Source organism: Homo sapiens, chromosome 15 (genome assembly GCF_000001405.40).
Source record: "Homo sapiens chromosome 15, GRCh38.p14 Primary Assembly".
Lineage (NCBI taxonomy): Eukaryota > Metazoa > Chordata > Mammalia > Primates > Hominidae > Homo > Homo sapiens.
Window position 1 is genome coordinate 93,764,924 of NC_000015.10, and position 27,887 is coordinate 93,792,810.

The following is a 27,887-nucleotide window of genomic DNA, read 5'->3' on the forward strand; positions in this document are numbered from 1 at the left end:
TTATCTCAAACAGCTGTTGCGAGGAAGAAATGAAGTGACATGTGGAAAATGCCAAGCACAGTTGCTGCCCAATTAATGCTGTGACCACTCCCGCCTTTCGAAGTAGAGGGACTGACCACCACTGGGCAATGTGTTGTGACCTCATTATTTGTTTTCCTTAATTCCAAATAACAAATTAAAAATCAATTGATAAGAAAAAACTTGAGTTTCAGTATTCACTTTGTGATTTAGATATTGAAAAGGAACATGTGCTTCTTGTCTGTCTTAAGTGAAAGTAAACAAGTGTCATAGTGGCAAGCACAAACCAGGTCAAGGCATGAGGTTGTGACGCCTGATGTGAGCATAGCATGTCAATGGTGGCTTAATACAATATTATCAAAATAACACATCTTTCCCCTTAGTCAATGATTTTAAAGATACTGTTTCATGACAACACGGCTAGATCTTAATAGCTACCATGAAAAAGACCCTACTAACCCATGACTCAACAAAAGTTGAACTCCATTTTTTACCGAGCGATCTCTTGTGTGATTACAACTGAATACCTATATAAGACGCTTTAATCTGCAGTCTGACTCCTCCCTACCCCCTTCTTTGTCACATTTGTTATACCATAATAGTTTGGCCAAAGGCATCCTCATTTTAAGAAGGTAAATAACAGTAATTGACCTGACGAGATCACTGGGATACATTTATATTAGAGAACAATTTTCAAACAGAATGGAGAAAATGCTATATAACAGAAACCTCCCTGAATATTTTCCTCCAGTCTAAGCAGGGAAAATCTCATTATCAGGAAGGGACTCTCTGTGTATATGCTCTCTGCCTCAGTCTCAGATAACTTTGATTTTCCTCTTAAATGTTGTATAAATATTGATGGCACTTATAAATTTCTATGTGGTGGGGAATTATATTTAATACATTTTTCATTACATTTGTTGTTATCTTGCTACCATGGTGAAACGATTTTCTTGAAATTAAGTACCATAAAATATTTGAGAATATGTTGCAGCTGAGCAATTGAGAAAGACAGATGTGATAACATTAAGGAGGGTGAATAAGCACACATGTGCACTGATTTAGAAAACACTCGTTTCTTCAATGAATAAATGCACTTAATGCAAGGCTTTTATTTTTTGTTTAGCTACCGCTTCACTCCCACCAAATGTGGGAGTCACTAAATATTGCTCTTAATGCAATAACCACAACCAGGCAACACTTAAATGACTGTATTCTGAATAAGCTGTATTAAGCCCCAGCCATGACTTTTCCTTTTGTCACTGATTGGTAGTAAATTATTGGAGTGTGGACAAACTAAAGTAGCAAGCTACTTTGGCATTATATGAACACCATCTAATTCACTGCTGGAGAAGAAAGGACAAATGAAGTACCACTTACTCAACACCTACCATGTGCCAGGCATGGCACAAAGCCCTTTGAAACCATGGTCTCCCTCAATCATCCTCAACACAATCCCAGGAACCAGGTATTATTTCCCCATTAAGAGAAAACGGAGGCTCAGAAACATCAAGAAACTCCCCTAAATATCTACAATTTGGACCCTGGTTCATTGGAGCCCAAACTTCATGGCCTTTGCCGAAATTATTATTGAGCCGTCAGTAAAGTTAGATGTAGGATAGAGATTTCATGGTCACAGACTTGCATACCTGGTAAGATGTGGGGACAATTTGTAACTTGAGAGAAAACAATTTTCGTTTAGAAATAGTACCATGATTACATAGCTTTGATGAGTTGTAAATACAGATCTTGATATTAAATTTGATTGCCCCCTCTTAAGGTAGCAAGCTCTTTGGATGTCACCCTAAGAAAGCTGTCATGGCCAGGCTGTTGCAAGCAGCCTTCTGGAAAGGAAAATAAATGTTCATGTGAGAACTAGAGATTGGCCCTTCAATTAAGAAGATTGAATGAATAAATAAGGACAGGCCGCCCTTGACCTCACCTAGATACCCAGGGGAAACTATACTATGGAAGTTGAAGGCACAGTTGAGGATGTGTGGTACTGCCATGCTGAGAGCCACCACCCAGGAAGGTCTACTTCTCAGCTCTAAGGCCTGAGCCCCCAGAGAGGACAGATGGTACGATATTGGGAAAACACACTTAATAAAGATGGATTCGGGGATTTCTATAGGAAGCACCAAGTACGTGGTCACCTTGGTGGAGAAAGTGATTAGAACTGCAATGGTGGGGAGAAAGACTATTGCTAACCAAGCAACAGCAGCTTCAGAGCCCCAGCTGTGATGAAGGCCATGCTGCCTCAAGTGACAGTGGTGGCAGGCCTCATGAGGACAAAGAGCATGATTGGACCTAGTTCAGCAGTGCAGGAGAAGCAAGGATACCGAGGGACAATCACTGATGATTGCAGCAAGAAGGTCTCAAGGGCACCAGAGAGAGAGAGAGAGAGATGATACCATGTTGGCCTTCACAGGGAACATGCCAGCTTGGGGAAAGAGAGAGGATTAACAGGGTTTGGTTACCTTCTTTGGGCTAGGTTTTTCCAATCTTATTTTATAACTTCACAATGGATTATTATTATTCCCTTTACTGGAGGGGAAATCAAGACAAGGAGAATTAGTCTAGTCTACTAGGTCTCACCAAGGTCCCATATCTGACCCTTCAGATTGTCACCCACAAGAATCCTGAGATTTCATGGAGATTCACTTTTTTCTGGCTTTTATCATTTTGATGTATAAAAATATGAAAAGAAAGATTAATTGGCAATTATAGAGATGTGAGTGATAATAATACATTAATATTTATTGAGTTCTTCCTGTATGCCAGGCATTGTTCTAAGTAGCTTATGTCTATGACATTATTTAACACCTACAATAATGTTGCAAGATGAGGATGGCCATTATTCCCATCTTTCAGATGGATGGGGGAGTCACTAATTATTGAAGTCCAGAGTGGATCAGAGTAGTGAATTTGCTTGCCCAATGTCATGCAGCTGGTACATGGGGTGCCAGCCTAAGTATTGAGGCAGTATAAATCTTAAAAGTAACACTGTACTGCTCTTATCATCTCCCCATGTCCATGCATGTGGATCTTTGGGAAGGAGCCACGTACACAGGAACCAGGGTTGGAAATGGCTCTAACTATATCTTCCTGTTCTTGGGAGGGGTTATCTTAAGTGAGTAAGTAAGCCCTAGTAGCTCTCAAGGAGGATCTCCTACTAAAAGCTTTTTCTTTCAAGTTTCACCTTTGCTATGTCATAGCCTGGAGGTTTGCCTCTCTCTCCTCTCTCCCATTTAAGTTCAAAGAGCTTCTTGGGGTTGGCATCCTGTTGACAGGCTCAGTTACCACAGGGTCATCTGTTTGGAAAATCATAGCCCATGGAAGATGTCCCTGCCTGAACCAGGAGAGGGAGAATAAGGCAATAGGCAGATGGTGTCAGTCCATTTTGTGTTCCTAGAATACCTGAGGCTGGGCACAGTGGCTCATGCCTGTAATCCCAGCACTTTGGGAGGCTGAGGCAGGTGGATCACCTGAGGACAGTAGTTTGGGACTAGCCCGGCCAACATGGCGAAACCTTGTCTCTACTAAAAAATACAAAAATTAGCTGGGTGCAGTGGCAGGTGCCTGTAGTGACAGCTACTCAGGAGGCTGAGGCAGAGAATTGCTTGAACCTGGGAGGCAGAGGTTGCAGTGACCCGAGATTGCACCACGCCATTGCACTCCAGCCTGGGAGACAGAGCAAGACTCCATCTCAAAAAAAAAAAAAAAAAAAAAGGAATACGTGAAGCTGGGTAATTTATAAAGAAAAGAGGTTTATTTGGCTCATGGTTCTGCAGGCTACACAAGCAAGGTGCCAGGATCTGCTTGCCCTCTGGTGAGGCCTCAGGAAGCTTTTACTCATGGCAGAAGGTGAAGGGGGAGCAGCTGTTACATGGCAAGAGAGGGAGAACGAGGGAAAGAGGAGGAAATACTATGACCTTTTAAACAGCCAGCTCTTGTGGGAACTCATAGAGTGAGAACTCACTCATTACAGCAAGGACACCACCAAGACATTCAGGAGGATCAGCCTCTATGACTCAAACACCTCCCGCCAGGCCCACCTCCAACATTGGAGGTCAGATTTCAACATGAGATTTGGAGGGTACAAACATCCAAGCCATATCACAGACTTAGCAAGCAAGGCCAGTGGATCCAAATAGGGGGCCCTCCATAACCCAAGGTTGTGGTACAGGAAGCCAGAGAAGAAAATACAAAAGCCATGCCCTTGGATGGATGCCAAGATTAAAACAGAAAAGCACGCAAAACAGAATCTTAACTTATCAGCAGAAAGAGAGTTTGAGGGTAGAAGTGGGGGCAGATGAACAGTGGGAGCCAAAGGACAGAGTTAAAATGGGGCAGTTACTAAGACAGGCAGCCCAGGGGAAGGGTGGGCAGGGCATAACAGGGGGAGTAGACGTTGACGGGTGCAGTAGGTACAACTCTGGGGTAGGAAGGAACTTACTGTGGGTTCCCAGCAAGGGTCTGTGAGTAATCTTGGGTCAGCCACAGGGGCTCATTTAGAATGAGCAGCCCAGATCCCAAGGCCTCTTCTGGAGCTGCTCATGGGCATCCACTGCATGTTAGGCCCTGAGCCTATAGTCCATATCCTGTATCCTCACTGTCCTTGGAGGTGGGTTCTCTGGTCCCAATTCTGCAGGAAAGGAACTGAGGCTCAGAGAGTCCACATGAGATACCCAGATTCACTCAACCAGTCATCACGCTGGCATTCACCATGTCCTGGCAGCATTCAATCACTCTTGGGAAAGACGTTGGCCCTTTTTACACTCTGGTAATAAAATATTGACCTAAACATTGTATTCCTTAGAAATCCAGCTGTATTAATCCTAAAAAATAACTCTTACATATCTAATTTGATGTTTCCCAAAATATCTTATTAATGAGAATCCATTTCTGGGCCTCAAACCAGATCCACTACCTCAAAGTCTCTAGGGAGGGAGAGTCCTAGAAACATGAAAATGGAACTCTTCAATTGTATAGTTTCAACCATATGAAATTGCCAGTACATGGCTATTTATGATCTATGAAAACAACAATTTTACATGGTCTAATCTAACTTATACTTCAAATCGTAAATGATTCTTATCATCAGAGAAATTTGAGAAAACCTTTTAAATGCTTTGACATGTTCCTCAAAGCTGATATCCACCGTGCTTCAGTATTACAAAAGAGCAAGTATTACAAATAACCTGAAGTCTCACTCCTAATTATCTCCTGTCTAATTCAGTTATAAAAATCAATCCGTGGACGGGCACAGTGGCTCACGCCTGTAATCCCAGCACTTTGGGAGGCCGAGGCGGGTGGATCACCTGAGGTCAGGAGATTGAGACCAACCTGGCCAACATGGTACAACCCCGTCTCTACTAAAAACACAAAAATTAGCTGGGCATGGTGGCAGGCGCCTGTAATCCCAGCTATTTGGGAGGCTGAGGCAGGACAATCGCTTGAACCTGGGAGGTGGAGGTTGCAGTGAGCTGAGATCACGCCACTGCACTCCAGCCTGCGCGACAGAGACTTTGTCTCAAAAAAACAAACAAAAAATCAATCCATTAGTGCATTAAAAAAATAGGTATTGAAGACCTACTGTGTATCAAACACTAGACTAAACCAAGGGTACAACAATGGTTTTAGATATAATTCCTGAGCTCAAGATGTTGTGAACTCAGAGCGATTAAGCCATGATTACACAATACACCAAGTGGTGTAGAGCACAGAGGAAAGAATAATGTGTATGTTTGAAAATGCACTCCCAGAAGTGTCATATTCTTCTTCAACCAAGAGATGACCAGTTTTGAAGGTTTTACTTGCACGGTTTTTTTTTTTTTTTTTTTTTTTTTTTTTTTAAGATTGGGATATTGCAAGGATGAACCACTGCCAAGGTAAAGCAGGCTATAAGAGAGAGGCTTCCAGTATACAGTTTAGAAAACCATAAGTGTCATGGACCCCTGGATGTTCAGCTATTTCCTCTCTCTGCTGTCTTCTTCTCACTGCTAGAGAAACGTGGGCAATAACATGACTGATTTACTAGTATTAGTCAGCACTTTTTATGCATCTGGAAATCTTGGACTTAAGAACACCTGATACTAGTGTGAGACCCTAAAACACAAGGTTATTGTCTGGGAGGAATTGTGCAGGTGTCTAAAGAGTTAAAAGAGGCTGAGATTGAAATTCCATTCTCTTTCATAATTTCTGGATTTCTTTTTAAAATGGTTAAGAAGCAGGGAGTTTGCCCTAGTATCAGTGTTCAGGAAGAGATTAGTTTGCAAAGTCAGTGGAACTTCCCATTCACCTTTCTCCCCTTGCAAGGTTCCTAAGGTCTTGCCCAGCTTAAGATTTTCAGCATGATGAAAATCCATTCCACTGGATGCGCAGGTAATGCAACCTCTTTTTACAACAACAGCCTTCTTTCTTTGAGGCATTTCAGTCTGGCCATTCAGGTGCATAAAGTATGCAGAAGCAGGTGGGTAGGATTTCAAGCTTCAGTGGCTGCTTGGCTCTAATCCCTCGAGGTAGATATTTAATTAAGCTGAGAAAGTCAGTGTACCATCCATCAGGCAGCATGTTCTAGCATAGACCACTTACTATCTGGGACATCGTGTATCAAAAGTATAAAATGAGTTTTAATATGAAGTGAAATGACATAAATGGAAAAGTGGACCAACTGCTGACTCAGCAACTTCTTCCAATGACAAAAAAGCTACTTTTAAAAATTTGCTCAAAAAGAACAAGTGGCTCCCACTATAGATATCAAGCACTGTAATGGAATTACAGTCCCTGACTGACCCTACTGTTGCAATGCCATACACCAGCAAAGTTTGCTAGTCAGAGCAGGTATGTGCCCTGGAGACATGGCCAGCTCAGAAGAAGCCTCACAAAACCTTGGCATGCTGTATCTGAGTTGACTTGCATTGTGGTGCTTGTTGAATAATGATCAGAATCTGACTCATGCAAGAAAGAAAGGGTGCATTTTGAATGATTCTGATTTGTAAGTTCTGGGAGGTGATAATAGAATAACAGCTTTATTGAGCATTCTGCAGAACACGCTGGAAATGCAAAGATCATGTGGAACAGGGGCCTGGTCCTCACGAGTGTTTACAGTCTAATGACAGAGAAAAGCCTGAGTCCCATCAAGGATGTTTTAAGGGAAAAGGCAATTGGTGAAAGATGTGTGTGTGTTTTAGACCTCAATGGCAACAGAGTTCAGGAAGGGGAGCAATGACTTAAGGCTACGGAAATCTGTAAGGACTTGGGAATGAGGTACAAATTGAATTAGGAAGAAAAGAGGAGAGGGCACAGTAAAGGCAGGCAAGAAAGGAGAGGTATGGGCCGGGCGCAGTGGCTCACGTCTGTAATCCCAGCACTTTGGAAGGCCGAGGCGGGAGGATCACCTGAGGTTGGGAGTTCAAGACCAGCCTGGCTAACATGGTGAAACCCTGCCTCTACTAAAAATACAAAAATTAGCTGGGCATGGTGATGCGTGCTTGTAGTCCCAGCTACTCAGGAGACTGAGGCAGGAGAATGGCTTGAACCCAGGAGGCGGTGGTTGCAGTGAGCCGAGATCATGCCACTGCATTCCAGCCTGGGTGACAGAATAGGACTCCTTCTCAAAAAAAAAAGAAAGTAGAAGTGTGATGGGGCAGGGTGGGACAGAATTTGCTGGAATAAAAAATTACTTCTGGAAAGTTGTAGAAGACAGGACTGGAAGGGTTCACCAGGAACAGTTTGTGAGTGTCTACAAATGGAAGGCTATGGAATTTAAGCTCTAAACTCTCTGCAATGGGCAGCCATCGGATTTTACAGCAGGGTGTTAAAAAATGGATTTGCAGCTGTGTGCAGGACAGGCTGAGGGCACAGGACAAATTATTCATCTCACAGGCATCATTGAGAGCTTAGAGTGCTAGATGCTTGGATTGCAAATATGAACCACACCAGGTCTCTCTCTAGAAGACCTCACAGAACAATAAGGGAAATGCATAATGCATGTGGACACAGTTTCAACACCTTTGCATGGGCTTGAAGAGTGAACCAGGAGAAGCTAGTAAGAGACCACTGTAGGCCAGGTGATATGAAATTTGGATTTGAACTAAGCTGGGGAAACAGGAGGAGTACTCACAGCAGTGACTCATAGTCAGAGGTGACATTTCAGAAGGTCGGGAGGGAGAGGTCAGGACTGAAGAGAGTTTGGAAGGTCACCTGGGGAGAGGTGAACAAAGTGTGAGGGGCAGAGAGGCAAAGGGCTGCTGCAGGGGCCCAAGGTAGGAGGTGGAGAGATGGGCATGAAGGAGCGGGGAGGAGGAGCGGGGAGGAGGAGCGGGGAGGTTCAAGCACAGGGATCATGGGGAGAACTCAGGAGCTGGGACTGGTCAGAGCTGACAGCCATGCCCTTCTGTTCTGGGGCACCTGCCACCCCTGTGCTCCTCCCAGGAGCTGGGCTGTCTCAGCGGGAGGGAGAGAAGTACTCACTTTCATTAGTTTCTTTGCCACATTAAAAGAACACTGGCGGCTGGGCGCGGTGGCTCACGCCTGTAATCCCAGCAGTTTGGGAGGCCGAGGTGGGCGGATCACGAGGTCAAGAGTTCGAGACCAGCCTGGCCAACATGGTGAAACCCTGTCTCTACTAAAAATACAAAAATTAGCTGGGTGTGGTGGCACATGCCTGTAATCCCATTTACTCAGGAGGCTGAAGCAGGAGAATCATTTGAACCCGAGAGGCGGAGGTTGCAGTGAGCCGACATCGTGCCATTGCACTCCAGCCTGTGTGACAGAGCGAGACTCCAACTCAAACAAAACAAAACAAAACAAAACAAGAACACTGGCTGGGTGCAGAGAGGGTCACTGCTGTCCAACAGAGCAGCCCTACACTTTCCTTATCCTCAGAACCTACCTGTTTGCCTTTATATCCTGTGACTTTTTAGCACTCAAATTAACGGCTGCATCCTCTGAACTCTCTGAGCATGCCCAGCCTCAGCCCTGCCTCCCACCCCAGCCCTCTCCCACCTCCCACCACATCCCTTCCACTCCCCACTGTGCACACACCCCCCTCCTCCCCCATCCACACCTACCTCCTAACCCCACCTCCCCTAACTCTCACTGGCAGCCTCCCATCCCATAGAAATTCTATGCCTGTTTTTTTTCACTTTACTTTTGAATGCAGCATGCGGCACAAAAAAGTGCCCTCGAATTTGAAATATGACGATCCAGGTTTAGATCCTGATATAGCCTCTTATGGCCAAGATCTCTTTGAGTCTTGTTTTTCTTACCTGAAGAAATGGAGATAATATTTATGAAGATAAAATGAAAAAATGTTGTACAGATGCCTGTTACCATATATTGCTTGAGCCATCCTAGGTGCTTGCTCAGAATTAATGACCTTTCTTGTTGCTTTTCCTGCTAGAGTCTCGAAGTGCACATACAAAAGACATTCCACACTTATTGAATTAATCCTCCCTCCTGCCTCTATTAGAAATTAAACGTTTTAAGGGCAGGGTCCTTTCTGGGTCTGGCATGTAGAGTCTTGTGCATGCTGTCTACTAGTTAAATATTTGTTAAATAAATGAGCCATGTGGTCAGGAAAGCGAGGAAACTCCTACATGACAGCTGTGATTTCACACTGTGGGTGTCTGGAGAAGAACGGAGTTTGACAACCCGCTGTCTCTTCCCTAGAATGGGTGGTAGACCTCAATTCTCTCCATTGTCTCCCAAGAAGTCTCTGCTTAAAGTTTAAGGAACTGTTGACATGGCCTCAGCAGCACAGGACCAAGACATCATTCACAGGCACATATGCCACTCCTTTGGAACCTGTCAAGTGTGTGCCCGAAAAATTATCTGTATATTTTGCATGGTGACAAAAGCAACACATTCTAATCTCCTACAGTGAATTAAATTCCACCAGCAAAACAAATGCCTTATGACAGGTGATTGATAGGTGTTTTCTCTGACAGCCTCTGGCACAGAAATCTGCCCTCAATCGAGTCTGGAAAGATAGCTGGAAGAAGAGTTGAAGTAGTCAGCCAGTTCTCTCCCCACACTGCACTGTGCAATGTCTAAGCACGCAGCAATATAAATGACATACCATTCAATTGATCTTTTGCTTATCTATAAATGCAGAATGAGCTGTGTGGACCCTGATCCACAAAGGAACCATTTTAGGAAAATTTATTTCCTTTCACTACCCATAAAAATAAATTGCTCCTCACAAAGGAGAGACAAAAAAATACTTTCTTCCCCTAATAAGATTATTATGAAAGGGATATTTTCTCTGAACTATTGTTACTGAGTTGCGTGCTGTCAATTTTTTATAACGGTGTTACCATTCTCAGCTTGGCTGGAGCTCCAGAGACATGGCAGGCAAGGGCCTGGCCTTTCCTGTTGTTTTATTTGGGTGATACTGTGACAGGGTCAAATGTTTTTAATGCGGGTGGGCTCAACTTACCACTGGCCCCCAATGTTCTCCTCTATTCCAGGCAAAAGATGACAGGAATTGTAGCCCAATGCTTGGGCATAAATAATGTACTTATACACACAGGCATATACACACACTCACACTGGATGGCAATCCATGCATTGCTGGCTTTCAAAGGGGTGAAGTTCCACCATTGTGCTAAGAAAAGCTGTGTCCCTTCCAGCTTCGATATTTTTCAGTGACTTTTACTTTAGTCTCTGTGACACTTAGCTCAGTGGGAGACTGGTCAGAGGAGCTGTGCTAAACGCTCTTCCATGCCCCTTTGTAGCCAACAGTGAAATTAACTACAATGTATTCAGTATCTGCTTTGGGCCAGGAAGGCAGCTAGTTGCTTTACAGAAAACTCCATCTTTAAGCTTCGCCCCAGGTTGCTGTCTCTTTTGAAGCAATTGAGGTTTGGACAAGTGAGCCAGCTGGGCTAGGATCCCATTGCTAAAGAAGAGCCGAGGTGGAAGAGTGTGTCTTCTCCAGCTTAGGGGGAACAGAACACACTGGTGAGGAGCCATAGGAGGAGGGAGACCTGCAAGAGGGAGGGCAGGCTGTGTGAGGTGTTTTAGGTACCGAAGCCAAACGGGAACCGGATTTTCTGGGTGAAGTGGGGCAATCTTGTCAGACAGTACTTTAAGTACACTTGAGTCTCCAGAAGTTAAATTGAGTGATTCTCAGCAATAGGCTGTCATGAGCAGAACTGTAGAATTACCATTAATAGACATTTATGCAGCCAAAAGACACATGAAAAAATGCTCATCATCACTGGTCATCAGAGAAATGCAAATCAAAACCACCATGAGATACAGTTAGAATGGCAATCATTAAAAAGTCAGGAAACAACAGGTGCTGGAGAGGATGTGGAGAAATAGGAACACTTTTACACTGTTGGTGGGACTGTAAACTAGTTCAACCATTGTCGAAGTCAGTGTGGCGATTCCTCAGGTATCTAGAACTAGAAATGCCATTTGACCCAGCAATCCCATTACTGGGTATATACCTAAAGGATTATAAATCCTGCTGCTATAAAGACACATGGACACGTATGTTTATTGCGGCACTATTCAGAATAGCAAAGACTTGGAACCAACCCAAATGTCCTACAATGATAGATTGGATTAAGAAAATGTGGCACATATACACCATGGAATACTATGCAGCCATAAAAAAGGATGAGTTCATGTCCTTTGTAGGGACATGGATGAAGCTGGAAACCATCATTCTCAGCAAACTATCACAAGGACAAAAAACCAAACACCGCATGTTCTCACTCATAGGTGGGAATTGAACAATGAGAACACTTGGACACAGGAAGGGGAACATCACACACCAGGGCCTGTTGTGGGGTTGGGGGAGGCAGGAGGGGTAGCATTAGGAGATATACCTAATGTTAAATGACGAGTTGATGGGTGCAGCATACCAACATGGCACATGTATACATATGTAACAAACCTGTACATTGTGCACATGTACCCTAAAACTTGAAGTATAATAAAAAAATTAAATTAAAAAAATTACCATTAATATAAGCTAAGAAAGTTAAGGAACAAAATCTATCCTAAAAATGGGTTTTTAAAAATAACTTGTATTATTTTGTTTTACTATTTTTCAATTTTTATTAATTGCCTGGTGACCACAGTTAATAATAATGTATTGTATATTTCAAAATTTGTAAAAGTCAATTTCTAATGGTTTACTCATTTTTGACTGCATATATATGTGTATACTTAAGAATTTAAAAATGCTTCTAAGCAAGAAGAAGCATATAAAAATTACCCACAATTTTAACCATGTGGAGGTGAATAATCTATATTTTAAGTTACATCCGTATAGTTTTGAATAGCTGTGTTTTGACTACACAAAATGTATTTTTTGAAAATCTAGTAAAGTCTTTTTATAACCTGAGTATTTTGGTAAAGTATAATTTCTTCAACTATTATTGGCATATAATTGGTAAGAATATTCTTTCCTGGTATTTTACAAATATCCCTTATAGTTATATCCCTGTTTTTGTCTTCATATTGTGTGTGTATGTGTGTATGTGTGTGTGTGTATGTGTATGCGCATTTACATACCTCTCTTAGATCTTGTTATTCTTAGTTGTGTACACAAGGAACCCTGGTTTCCTATTTAAAGACCTCATTTGAAAACAGAAGGGTAATCTTTGCTACTTAGTTGGTCTCGATTTTCTATGATTTATCAGTTAGCTGAGCTAGGAAATGTTTCTAAGATAAAATATTTCATAAGTTCATACTGATGCTTCAATTCAAATTCAGAACCACAGATGCTTTTCTTAACTTCCTCAATAGACCGAGGTTCACCCACACTGAACATCCCCTCTATCGAAGAAACCACTATCGTTTCTCATCTCTTTTATCCAAAGAAGTGCACTCAACAGCCTCAAAATTACAACATAAATACTACCAGTGGCAGTGTTTTCTGAAAACAGGTTAAATTTTTTTTCCTGGTTCCTAGGGCATATCTCACTAGGAACGAATAGTCAATCAAATTTCTTTCTGGGCCAGGCACAGTGGCTCACCCGTGTAATCCTAGCACTTTAGGAGGCTGAGACGGGAGGATCACCTGAGGTTAGGAGTTTGAGACCAGCCTGGCCAACATGGTGAAACCCCATCTCTACTAAAAATACAAAAAAAATTAGCTGGGTGTGGTGGCAGGCACCTGTAATCCCATCTACTTGGGAGGCTGAGGCAGGAGAATCACTTGAACCCGGGAGCCAGAGGTTGCAGTGAGCCAAGATTGTGCCACTGCACTCCAGCCTGGGCAACAGAGTGAGACTCCATCTCAAAAAAAAAAAAAAAAAATTCTTTCTGAGCAGTTGTACTACCAAATTGATACCCAATTTTGCTTCCCATTTTCATAATTATATAAAATATTAAATGATTCTAAAATCAAATTTACAAAACAAGGTACAGAGACATCTGGCTTTTTTCCCTGTTTCCTTCACTTGTTTCTCTACCTTTCAAGGTAGTAATTTATTAATTTTTTATCCTTTCATTATTTTGAGTATAAAAATGTTTATGTTAATGTAAGAAAATATTTGTATTTTAGGTTTACTATAGAAAAACATAATTTATGAACTATGTTAATATAAGAAAATATGTCTATGTGTGTATTTTTATTATTTCCTTTCTTAGATGGATAGTTTTATACTATAATGTTTTCCTTCACCTTGTTTTTCCATTTAACAATATGTTTCAGAGGTTATTTCCTACAAGGGCCTACAAGCAGTCCTCATTCCTTTTCCTGATGGCATAGTAGTCCATTTGCAATTGTGGCATGGTTTTATTGCTCCCCATTAATGAACATTGGAGAAAATTCCAGTCTTTTGTTATAAATATGCTGCACCAAATACCTGTGTGCAAGTTTCATATATTTTTGGCAATGGATTTTTGGATATAGTCCCAGAATGGTGATGGGTAGGTCAAACTATACATGTCTATAAAATCTTGCTATCACAATTTTGCTAGACATGACCCAATTTCTGCCCATGGTGGTTGTACTATTTTGCATCTCCCTCAGGAATATTTGAGAGTTCCTGTTTCCCCACAGATGTGCCACAAAGCTTATTGCCAAACTTCTAAATTTTTGATGATTCCACCTATTTGGTGAGAAATGGTATCTCAACAACTTTTTTTTTTTTTTTTTTTTGAGACAGAGTCTTGCTTTGTCACCCAGGCTAGAGTACAGTGGCACAATCTTGGCTCACTGCAGCCTCCGACTCCCGGGTTCCAGCGATTCTCCTGCTTCAGCCTCCCGAGTAGCCAAGATTACAGGCATGCATCACCACGCTCAGTTAATTTCTGTGTTTTTATTAGAGACGAGGTTTCACCATATTGGCCAGGCTGGTCTTGAGCTCCTGACCTCATGTGATCCGCCCGTCTCATCCTCCCAAAGTGCTGGGATTACAGGCGTGAGCCACCGTGCCCGGCTGTCAACAACATATTATCTTTCTTTTCTAATGAGTGACATTGAACATCTTTTCATAGAATTAAGAGCTCCATTATATGTATTTTTTCCTCAGTGATTCATCTCTTCAAAGCTCCTCCCCATTGTTCTTTATTGTCAAAATGTGTTATTTGATACAGTTCTTGTGCATAGGTAGCATGTCTGCCCGTAGGCAGAGGTGGGTGGAGGAGACAATGAGTGTTTCAGGTAGAGGACTGCCATAATCATCAGTGTGAAAGCAGGGCAGCCTAAGATGTGGTTGGAAAGCATCTCCACTGGACGGTCATGGAGGGCTTTCCACATTCCTCAGCTGAGCATACAGGGTCCCCACATAATCTGCCCTCTGCAATCCCTTCAATCTGAAGTTCTCTATAAACTTCATTGCCTTATACTCCAGTGTCATCTATGTAGTTGCTGTTAAAAATACAGGTGCTAGAAAAATTCTATAATGTGAGTGAGCAGTGGCTACACGTTAATATTTTCCGAAACACATTGAATAGTACATTTAAAATGTGTGCATTGTATTGTGTGTAAATTATACTATATATATATATAGTGTGTGTGTATATATATATATATATGGCATGAGCTCAGTTCACTGCAACCTCTGCCCCTGGGTTCCAGCGATTCTCCTGCCTCAGCCTGCCAAGTAGCTGGGATTACAGGCGCCCACCACCATGCCCAGCTAATGTTTCGTAATTTTAGTAGAGATGGGGTTTCACCATGTTGGCCAGGTTGGTCTCAAACTCCTGATCTCGTGATTTGCCTGCCTTGGCCTCCCAAAGTCCTAGGATTACAGGCATGAGCCACCGTGCCCGGCCATAACTATGTATATTTGTACATAGTCATGACCATAAACTAGTCATGTTCAAGCCCTATCCTAGGTCTACTGTGTCAATTTCTGGGTGTGTATACTGAAAATCTACATTACTAAGCAAGACACACAGGAGACACATTTGCACATTAAAATTTGAGACCACGAACTACTTGTATTTCTTCAAACTCTCAAGCTGGGTGTGTTTCTATGCCTGCTGATTCTGCTGTTTGCTAGAATGTCTTTGAATACCTCAGGAATGCCTATGCATCTTCAAGATGTTGTTCTGGTATCACATCCTCTGCTTTTTCCTTCTTCTGGTTTAATTTAATGTGAACTCTACCCTCCTTTGTTCTCTACTGTGAGTATAAAATTATGATACTTCCATTAAAATATAAATACAGACATATACTATATGTATATTTAGAAAGTATATATAATGCTTGCTCTTACACATTTATTTCTGTATTTCCCTTTACCAAACCAAAGAACATTTTCAGAACAGAGATTGTGTCTGATTTGCCATATTTTCAAGGTCTTGTTGAAACCAAAACACACAGTAGGTGTCTGATGAATCGTTCCTAAATGAATGGCCTTGGTGAAGGACTAGTGGGGGAGGAGGCTGGATATATAGATTAGGAGTATATTTTGGAAGGTCATAAATATTAAACTAAAAAGCTGATTTTTAATTTATTGGTTATCATGTAAAGAATGCTTATTATGTATTAGGAACTGTGCTAAGCACAGTGTGACTTTTATTGCATTAAATCCTATGTGGTGGGTGGTTTTTATTTTAAAGATGCCAATCTGACACTTAAAGAGGTCAAGCCACTTGTCCAAAGTCATTGTGCTTCCAATCAAACCCTGGTCTGACTGACCTCGGAGAATGCATTTTTTTTTTTTTTTTTTTTTTTTTTTTTTGAGACGGAGTCTCCCTCTGTCGCCCAAGGCTGGAGTGTAGTGGCGCGATCTCGGCTCACTGCAAGCCCCGCCTCCCGGGTTCATGCCATTCTCCTGCTTCAGCCTCCCGAGTAGGTGGGACTACAGGCGCCCGCCACCGTGCCTGGCTAATTTTTTTGTACTTTTTTTTAGTAGAGACGGGGTTTCACCATGTTAGCCAGGATGGTCTCGATCTCCTGACCTCGTGATCTGCCCGCCTCGGCCTCCCAAAGTGCTGGGATTACAGGCGTGAGCCACGGCGACCGGCCGAGAATGCATTCTTTAATAATGTTAGTGCCTCTCAGGTTGTTAAAGTTTAAGAAGACTGAATATTTTTCTCACAGAAATAGAGATGTTTGGGATTTCTAAGATGGTACCCAATAAATAAAAGAGAACCCACCTTCACGTCCAAGTTCAATACAAATTGAAAAAAACAAAACCAAGAAGGCATATTGGAGATTTAGACAAATCACCTTTCTTCCTAATAACAATTGCATTGGAGAATACAGTTTTGTGTGAGAGACAGGTGAGTGGGCTGGGAAGGACCAGCATCAGTTGGACTTAGCCTGGTCTCCACAGTGCTGGACCAGCACAGGCATCCCCTGCAGAGGTGGAACACACCTCAAAGGCTGCCTGGAGAGTAGCTTGCTTCCACAGGAGAGGAAATCGGGACTGAGCCATGTAAGCCTGCTGAGTCTTCCCAAAGGTACCAATCAAGAAAGTCACTCTATGTACCTGCAAAGGTGTAGTAAAGGGGTGGAGATAGCTTAAGTGTTTGGAGGGTCCCTTTCTTCCTGAGATCCAGAGAAACAGGAGAAATGATCAAGCTCTCCCCTGGGGATCAAGCAATGATGATGGTGCCTCCTGAGCCAGGGGGCAGCTGGCGGGTATTGGAGTATTGCAAAGTTATGTCTGCCAGACTTGGCAGCCAAGTAGGCATTGGGGGAAGGAAGAACATAGGAACCACTCATGACTTGCAAGCAAGGGTCTGTGTGACAGCAATGTGGGCTACCATGTTAAGCCCAATCGCAAGGAGAAACATATTCTGAGGAAGAAATGATGGGTTTCATTTTTTAAATTAGCCTTGGAAAGGCTTGGAAAGAAGCATTGTCTAGTCATTTTAAAAGATGCTCTTTTAGGACTTAGAGAGTTTATAAATGGACACATGAAACATTAGCAACCTTGAATAAAGGGTTCATCAACTTCAGATTATGCAAAAATAAGCATAGACCTATGACCAAAGCAACATGCTACATTTTAAGATGAATATTTATAGAAGGCATGTATCACTTACTCTTTGCTTAGAGTGTGTGAAATCTTACTGGAAAGTGAAAGGAAGTCTTCCTTTTCAACATTTTCCTCCTGTCCCTGGACTTACCATTACCTGTGTTAATACCCTTTCCTTCTGTTTTCATAGCTTCAATCCTCTTTGCTTTCTGGATCAACATACCAAAAGTTTTCAAACTTTAATTGCATCTAGGTAGTATGTATTTGAGTTTTTTATTGCAAACATTTGAGATTAAGACTATGTAAATCGAGTTAACCAATTATAAATTTTAAGTCTTAAAAATTTTAGGCCTTGTTTTAATATTCTCTTTAAATATTAAATGTATATTTAAACACCTTGACCTTTTTTGTTAGCACTATTGATTCTTGAGTGTGCATTTAATGAGAGGGGGCAAGTCACAATTCCCATTCACCGGAAGGAGATAGTATGCAAACTGAAGGCACTGGCTTTGGGATTGGAAAGGCCTACGTCTTAGAAAAGGGTATTTTTGAAATGGTAAAATGGAGCTGTAATATTCAGGTGAAATAATTCATGCAAAAATATATGGCGTTTATCCCCTAATGATTTAAATGTTAATACTATTTTATTGAAGATGGCATTTCTTAAATATGATTTTTTTCCTTTAGTTTCTTCAAAGTATAAAGGTAATTGTGCTACAAAAACTCACCCCAAAAAATATGAAGTCAAGCAGGCTCATACATGAGGTGTTAATTTGTTGTTGCATGTTTGCTCTGATTAGACTTACTTTAAGGGCTGTAAAGTCACACCGAAGCATATGTAGGTTGGCCCAGTCACCTTGGAGATTAGGACTTCTCCAAAGTTGGCTTTTTTTCCCCAAGAGTAAGATATTTTCCTGCTATATTTCAAGGATTTAATGCCACTTCTACTTGGACGGTGCCTGCCCTGACCACCCAAGGCTAGGTTCAGACTACTTTTTCTGCTTTCATTAATCAGTCTACATGCTCTTTTAATGTCCTGGTTTTCTAATCAGTCTCCCTGGACCTAGGAGAAGGTCTGAGTCTAAATTATTCACTGCTGTTTCCCAGTGTCTGGCAGAGATCCTGGCACTTAACAGAAACCCAGAACTTTTGGATGAATGATGATAGGTAGCTTCAAGTTTTCTATTTGAAAACAAATAGTATTTTCCACATAAATTCTGGGAGCACTGTAATAACATCCTATCATAAAGATAATTCATAAAGCATTTTAGTATGAATTAGCAGTTTAATCATTAAATAATTAAGTATTTAATCACTAATCAATGTTTATAATACATTTACAAGATGTGTTTTTTCAATTTTTATTCTCTTTAATATACAGAACCATGGTTTGATGCAGTGCTTGTTATTTAGTCCACCATTTTGCAGATGAGTGCTTCCTAGATGCAATATCTCATGCTAAGTTTTGTTATAAGAGTTTGATATTCTCTTAGCCAACATGCATGCAATAAAGTCTAATATAAGGCAGTTGTGCGGAGAATATTAAGGATCTCAGACTTACATCTTTGAGCCTAGTTAAAGGAAAGATTAATTTAGATTACAGGGTGGAAGAAAGACTGCATGTATTCTGTTGGATTATCATCTAAGTGACTGCACTGGGTTAGATACTGAGGCACAAAGATGAATAAGACAGACACGGTCGGCTCCTGCAGTGATCACTTCCCAGAGGGTAATGGAAATATGCAAACAAAGGCATGCTGTGTCCCAGGTGAGATACGAAGTAGAGTTGGAAGCTCAGTCCACTCATCAAGAACAGGCTAAGGAAGTCCTGGAGGAGAGTGGGATAGATAGCCACTCGTTTCCCATCACATGGACTGTGAGGAGGGGCAAATTCCCTGGAGGAAACACAGACATCTCTAGCAAGGGACCTATTCTAAGAACATCCAGAATGTCAGCAGGCCTGGAGGGTAGAATGGCTGGACAAGTGGCAGGGAGGGCCCCTGGAGGAAGAGGCAGGGCCAGATCATGGGGACTAAGGTAAGGGACCAGAGAATGGATGAGTGCACTCAGACTTGGGGGGAAGGTTACAATTTTCCTCAAGGGTGAGGTGCCTTGGCACATGAGGTGTGCAGTTGGGGGTATTAGTCTGGAGCTCCTGAGAAGCACAAGCTTCATAGGAGTATTGTGGCAGGAGGAATCAAGACTTTCCAGACCGACTGTATCAAAACAGGGTAAGGAGTGGCGGAGGAGCTACGGTGTAGATGACCCGGGTACATGATCTGCCAGGTGCTGAGAGTCAACTCTGGAAACACCTAAGGGCTCCATCCTGAGCATCTTGGATGTCTGACTTAGCAGCTTACTTTGGAGAGTGGAGGCCCTCATGTTAGTCAATACAATTTAAGAAATCTCACTTGGTTTATTTTATAGAACACATAAGAGCAAACAATATGTCTAGTGCTTTCCAAATCAATGTCAAGTAAAGATAAGGGAGCAAATGGTGTGTGCATGTGTGTGTGTGTGTGTGTGTGTTTGTGTGCTATTCAAGAGACTTTCTAACCCCTGTGAATAGGAAGCGGGAATGAACACTGTCTTTAAACCCATGAAGCATCTAACATATCATTACTCACTATATTAACCATGCTGCATGTTACCTTTTTAGAATTTATTCATTGTTTAACTGAAAGCCTGTGCCCAACAACATCCCTTTTCCCCTGCCCCTAAGTACCTGCCAATTATCATTCTACGCTCTTTCTCTAAGTTAAACGTTTTTAGGTTCCACAGATTCATGAGATCATGCAATATGTGTCTTTCTGTGCCTGGCTTATTTCACTTAGCATAATGCCCTCTAAGTTCATCTATGTTGTTGAAAATACTTGAAATTTGCTAAAGGGAATCAACTTTTAGCGTACACACACACACACACACACGGTATACGGTATGTCAGATGATATGCTAATACATTTGATTGTGGGAGTCATTACACAATGTATACTTATATCAAAATACCACGTTGTATCCTTGAAATATTTACAATTTTTTGTCAATTATACTTCAATGAAGCCGGGAAAAATTAAAAGACACATAAAAAAAAGTAAGGAAGGATATTCTGCAAAACCTAGAAGGGAAGAATTTATTCCTTATTGAAAACTTGCCACACAGGGAAGATAAAATGGAGACAAAATAAGAGACAAGGTTTTTTCAAAAAGAATACAAATAAAAATTGTTTCAAAAATTCTATCAGTTAAGAGCATAAATCCCTGTTTTGTTTTTTCAAACTAGGAATGCCCTCTCTTTCATTCCAGTTGCAACCTATGTGTTCCTCAATCATCAGGTTTTATTTGTTTTTCTGCTAATTAATCAGCACGAGGCACCTAGAAGTCAAGTGTGACTACTTTAGTCTACCCTCTTGGTGTGTCCTCTGGAGTTCTTCTCACGTTTCAATTTGTGACTTTATTTGCATTTTTAGGACAACACTTAGGGGGCTTTGAAAAGATTACAAGTATTAGTGGGTAAACAAAGACATTGCAAGCTCTTCATCCTGCCATGCTTCTCCAAGTGCTCACTAACACACACCATTCCATGACATGGGCCACATTAATTCCTAACGTGGATTCCGAATGACCCCGCTATGACGTGGGTGACCTTACTGACCTCTGCTGTTACGTTGTCATGTTTTTTTATTAAAGCCATATTTCATAAAACATGTGAACATGTTTTATGAAATAAAACATAATTTGTTGTGTCCAGTTACACCCCTGCCAGTATTACAGGGAGAGAAAACCAACCGATTTCCTGGTATTTCATAGTATTTTGCATAGCACTGTAAGGAAATTAATTGGCCACTTGTAATACTGTAAGGCACTCCCTGAAGCAAACCTCCACTATGTGCAGTCTCTGCACAGGCCCCTAGCCGAGCACTCTACATCTGGTTCATTTTAAAGTGTGTTGTAGGTGTTAGCATAGGATGAGTGAGCAGGGACCATGGCTTACTGAAATATTAGAGCTCTGAGGCGCCTCTGTATTGCCCAGTTATCAACAGGTCTTTACTACAAGAGAAGCAACCAGGAAATTGAGTTAATATTTATTACTCAATCCCATAACTCGCATGACCTTTAGCACAAATATGGACCCCAGAACCAAATCCCTAGAAAATCAAAATTCAGGATTGACTTGGTTTTACCACGACTATGGTTTGTATATTTATACATGCAGTATACATAGGCCTAATATATATCAGAGCTAAAACTCAAGTGGCAATCAGTGGACACAGTAGGAAAGAATAGCTAGCAAATTTGCACATGTGGTTTTGATTAAAACTTCTATTTCCAAATATAATTGTTTCCTTAAATGATAGTCACAGTGACTTAATGTGCTTATCAGTAGCTATAACTTTTTTTTTAGTAAAAATGTCGGAATTTCTGTAAGTATATTCGAAAGTATAAAATCTTGAATACTAAAGTCAGTATTTTTGAGTGCTAACGCTGCCATGTATGAGAACTTATTTATAATAAACGTTGATAATAGACTTGTAAATAAAACCAGACATACATATTTTTTTTTCCAATGTGGCCAAATACCAGCATTAAAAATTCATATCATGGTTAATGTATTTAGACAGATTTCATATAATTGGGAAAAAGAAATTTTCTAATACTATGAAGGCAAAGATAGGGAAGTATAGTATTTCATAAATTGTATACATTAGTACAACCTTTATGCAGGACAGTTTGAGACTATGTTTCAAATGCTTTAACTCTGGAAATACTTTTTCAGCAATTCTCTTTTTTTGAACTATAGCTTAAAAATGATGAGGAGTGGGAACAAAGTTTCAGATGCATAAGAATTAATAATAGCCGTTTGTTGGATATTTTTAAAAATATTTTTCTCATGTGAATTTTTAGGCTATCACAAACATCCTTGAAGAAGCCTGAACATATCCTGGATTTAGAATTGCTAAGTTGATAGCTCTCCCCATGTTTAAGGCTTTTAAAAATATGCTATCAAATCACCCTTCGTAATTTGTTGTGTCCAGTTACACCCCTGACAGCAGTTATTATAAAACTTATTTTCCAAAACATTTAATGGTCACTTTAATTTGGGAACTTTTACAACTGTATCTATCCATTACTCTAGAATTTGCATTTAAGGGTTATCTTCTGGTGTATATTCTACAAAATTATTCTGCCTGGTTAAGTTTTTAACAGGTAAGGTATCATACCTCCTAATTAAGTTATAATAAAACAGGATTAATCCCGGCACTGTGGGAGGCTGTGGTGGGCAGATCACAAGGTCAGGAGATCGAGACCATCCTGGCTAACAAGGTGAAACCCTGTCTCTAATAAAAATACAAAAACAATGAGCCAGGCGTGGTGGCAGGCATCTGTAGTCCCAGCTACTCGGGAGGCTGAGGCAGGAGAATGGCGTGAACCCAGGAGGCGGAGCTTGTGGTGAGCCCAGATTGCGCCACTGCCCTCCAGCCTGGGCAACAGGGCAAGACTCCATCTCAAAAAAACAAAAACAAAACAAAACAAAACAAAAAAACGAAAAACAGGATTATGGTAGAGAACAAAAGAATTAATAACCTATTATGGTAAAAATGTAAACACAACATAAATGTACACCAGTGTGGATTTGATAAGTACACAAACCACACACACACACACACACACACACACACACACACACACACACTGATTATATATTAGAGTAAGGTTTTTTTCTGGTTGGTGGTTTACAGGCTTTTTATTCATTTTTTTGTTCTCTAAAAATGTACTTGCATGATGTTTTTAATCAGAAAAATAAAGGTCTTCCACTATAAAAAAATGTATAATCTGAAATTACTTTAGGTAACTATTTTAGACTGTGGATAATAGGTGGGTTTTCATTTAAATAGTCATTTAAGAAATACTTGAGCTTGTAATTGTGGATTGTCAAAGGAAGGCTCAGAGACAGAAACATTCATAAAGGAAATGAGTATAAGGGAGTCAGACTGCAGAAGGACTAGATTACCAAATTTTAAAAAATGCAATCAGAAATTAAAGGAGAAAAAAGCAAAAATACCAAGGTTGCCAAGTAACATTTGTCTGTTGAAGGCAAAAACAACAGTTGTCTAATACTATTATATTTACAAATGTCAAGACATACTTTCAGACATCAGCACAGCAAAGATCAAGAATATAAATGATTTTGTAAAGGAGTTCAGATGTGTGGGAATGAGTGAAGCTTTCATTATTTGAGGTCCATTCCAAGTTAGGATGAACCTGCTGTACCTGTCTTATCTCAGGTACAAAGCCTATGGTCTACCTATGGTTTGTGAGGGTCTTAGTCATATTAGAAGTGGTACAAGTATCATTTTTTGCTTCTATAATTCTCTCTCCTAGTCAATATCCTGCCATCAAATGTGGATTTGGCCAGATAAGCTGCTAATAAATTTTCTGATTTTTGTGTCACTAATTTGATATTGTTGTTTTAAAAATAGTTTATGTATGCAGGTGTCATAAGAGATATTAATACTGAAGTACATTATTTGTATAATTAACAAAAGTAGGGACACGTGATGTTACACTGAAACATTAGTTTCTGACGGGAATTTTAAAAAGACACTGGGTTTGTAATTTACTTTTACGTGTCGGAAGTATCTTACTGTCCTTATTAGCTCTATTGAGATTAAGAACCAAGAACCATCTTAGAAACCTCTGTAGGGTGCACCTACCATACATGTAAGCTCATAGGATATCCTTCCTGTTTATTTTCTGGGCTTGCAGGTAATGACATTCTTTATCTTCTTAAGTAAATTTCATAAGCCTAGAGCTAGTATTAGACCACTTTTACTGGGAGGACTTTGTAGATATCATTTTTACTTGTGAAGCATATTCCTTATTTTTTAATAGCAAGTATATACAACCTAATTAAATGAGCTTTTGGGCTTGCTTATATTTTATAAATCACATGTACCCAATTTTATATTCTGATCGGAAAGAGAATAAATTGTTACAGGTTACACTCGGTTGAGTTTTGTCTCAATGGAACCTCCAGGAATAACTAAAAAAGGAAGACTCAGAGAAAGAAACATCAAGACATCAGTGTGAGCAAGAGAGAAAGATTTTGAAGGACTGAAAGCCTCCATCCCCAACTAAGAAAAACAAGTATTTAAAGAAAACAAAAAGTGGAATTCCCAAGGTTATTAAATTTATATTAGTCTGTTCATAGTGGAAAAACAGCAACTATCTTACATGATGATTGCAGCTGACTTAATGGGAAATATTCAAAAGTTTATGATTTGTGGGAACAGAGCCAGTCAGCGTGACCCTTTTATTTTTGGTTTGTCTCAGAGTCCTCAGAGTGCAACTTGTTTTTTAAAATTTTTTCCCTAACTGTGACATGTGAAGTGTTTAGTAATATTAGAAACAGGATGAAGTATCAGTATTTTCTTCTAGAGTAAAAAATGATTGCTCTGAGTTCCTTCGAGTAAATATATGACATGCATCTTAGACATGGCATGTAGACTTTAAGCACAAATCACACACACTTTTCTCCATTTGCACTGCTGGGAACATTTTTCTATCTCAGTCCTAACTGTGTAATCTCCTGAAATGCACCTTACTGCTAGGCCTGAAAGATGCCTTTCAAACCTCCCAGGATTTATGCCAAACTAAATTGTTAGTTGAGGTACGTTTAAGAGTTGGAGCAAAAGGTTTATTCCTTGCCCTTTTAGAGAAAATCTGCCTAAACAACAGTCCTTTTTATTTTTGTTGCCTTAGCTAATGTGACCCAGAAAATAACATAGTGTGGTGGTGAAGAAAACCAAGCGCGTGAAAGGATGGCTGGGTTTTCCCCTGGGGGAAGCCCCTGGCAGGGTCTGGCTCTGCATTCAGGGGGTCTTGCCTGGCCTTGACCAGTGCCACAGAGCTTGAGGAACCCTCTTACACATGTCAATGAGTCCCCAGCATATGGTCAGTGAAGTTAATCAATATATTGAGCTATATCATATCCTTTTAAATTTCAGTTATTTTCTAACTTTGAAGGAAACATGAACCTGTCACCTAGATATCAGCTTTATATACATCACATTGTTTTTTTCCTTAATAAAACAAAGTCCACTTTTTTAAAAGATTTGTAAGTAGCTGTTCATTTGTCCTTTTAATTTTGCTTCCATGGGGAAATAATGTTGAGTAAATTTCGTTAAAGCTGAGTGGTCCAAATAGAGAGCGACCTAGACCAAGATTTTAAAGCATCTCTATTATCTTACTTCTTTATTTGAGTGGACATTAAAGATTATATATAGCATAGGTCTGTCCTTTGACCAGCCTCCTTTCTGACAACATTAAGTTTCAGAATATGATATACCATTAAGAGCACTTCTTGTGATTAGGAGTTTTTTATTTAAGGGCTACTAATATAGACTGCACTATTTTGGCTTCTTGAACCTTCCATTCTGGCCAGTTGTTTTATACCCAGGTCCTTCTTTAAATTTATTTGTCACCTGGTTTGTTTTTTGCTACTTCTTAGGTGTCTGAACGTCAATATCAAAGCAATTTAAGTCTTTCTCTTCCAAGAAACCATTGCTGACTGCTCTGCCCAAGCCTGGCTTCTTCATTTAAAACTCATTTGAGCATCTACTATGTACTGAGAATTGTGTATTTTGTAAGGCATAAGGAAATAGGTAGGCATGTCTCTGACTTCACGAAGCTTATGGTACAGGAACCATGACAACCTGAAATTCTCAATAAAATGTCAGATAGGAAATGAAAGTCTCAATTAACACATCGAAACTCAGATTTTTTACAAAGTTCATTAATATCTGCATCTGAGCTCTGAGGCTGATCTTGATCTTGTGAGATTCTCTTGGGGGAAAAAGAATACAAAATGGCAAGCACAATGCAAGGCAGAGGTCTTGAGAGTTAAGCATCATTGTCTTCCTGGTAAATCTTCCTGTGTCTGAGTTTGACCTTCCCCTCAAGCCTCCAGCATATATGTTCTTGAATAAGACAACTTGATCTATCCCATTCTGGTTTATTCCATCTGATGAGCGGATTGTTCAGAAACTTAAAATGATTAACTCAGCCTCCGTCCAGGTCTATTTTTGGTCACTTGTAATAAATACTCAATCTTCAAGGGTTTCTTTAGTGTTCCTGCCCTTTCTTCTGGGGTGATCCAAGTTCCTGAACATCATAAAAGAGAGCTGGTTTGTTTTGCCCACTCTTCATTTCTGGCTCTCAATCTTTATCTGGGTTCTATCTGCTGATGTGGAGTTGGGCATCGTGTAAGCAACTTCGACTCACGGCAGATGCTCTTGCTACTGCCTTTGGTTGCAAGGTCCCTGTGCTCTATGGTCTTGTTCCAACTTGAGTTCCCTTCCAGGTCATGGTCAGCTTAGCCCTTCTGTGTATCTCTTGGGGTCCCAGTAACGCTGGATGATTTTTTCTCTATTATAGAGAAACAAGCAGGACATTATGTTGCCGTTTCAAGGCTGACCATCCCAACAAACTTCCTTTGTCATTGTTACATTTCCGCTGGGTACCCTGTTGGAGGTAGAACCATGCCTTTCTGGAAGTCTTTATGCCTCCATTGACAGCCCATGCGCAAGGAAAGAAGTAAGGCCCTTCCCTTCTGTTCTTGAATTCTAGAGGAGAAACCAGCACACTCCATTTAGAACCATTGCCCTCTTCCCTCTCTCTCTGACTCTGGGTCTCCCACTGAGTGCCATGAAGGGCTTTCACCAATGTAGAGAAACTTTTCTAACATATCATTCTCCTCTGATTCATTCATTTGGATATAACAAGTTACTTTGTTCCAGTTTGCTAGGCTTGTCTCCTGACATAAAAAGGTCAGCCTTAGAAGCCCTAAGAAAACCCTTTCTTGATCCTTGTGGAGGGTGGAGCCAAGATGGCCGAATAGGAACAGCTCCAGTCTACAGCTCCCAGCATGAGTGACGCAGAAGACGAATTATTTCTGCATTTCCAACTGAGGTACCGGGTTCATCTCACTGGGGATTATCGGACAGTGGGTGCAGGACAGTGGGTGCAGCACACTGAGTGTGAGCCAAAGCAGGGCGAGGCATCTGCTCACCCGGGAAGCACAAGAGGTCAGGGAATTCCCTTTCCTAGCCAAGGAAAGGGGTGACAGATGGCACCTGGAAAATCAGGTCACTCCCACCCTAATACTGTGCTTTTCCAATGGTCTTAGCAAACGGCACACCAGGAGATTGTATCCCACGCCTGGCTCAGAGGGTCCTACGCCCATGGAGCCTCGCTCATTGCTAGCACAGCAGTCTGAGATCAAACTGCAAGGCGACTGCAAGGCAGCAGCGAGGCTGGGGGAGGGGCACCCACCATTGCCGAGGCTTGAGTACGTAAACAAAGCAGCCAGGAAGCTCGAACTGGGTGGAGCCAACCACTACTTAAGGAGGCCTGCCTGCCTCTGTAGACTGCACCTCTGGGGGCAGGGCATAGCCAAACAAAA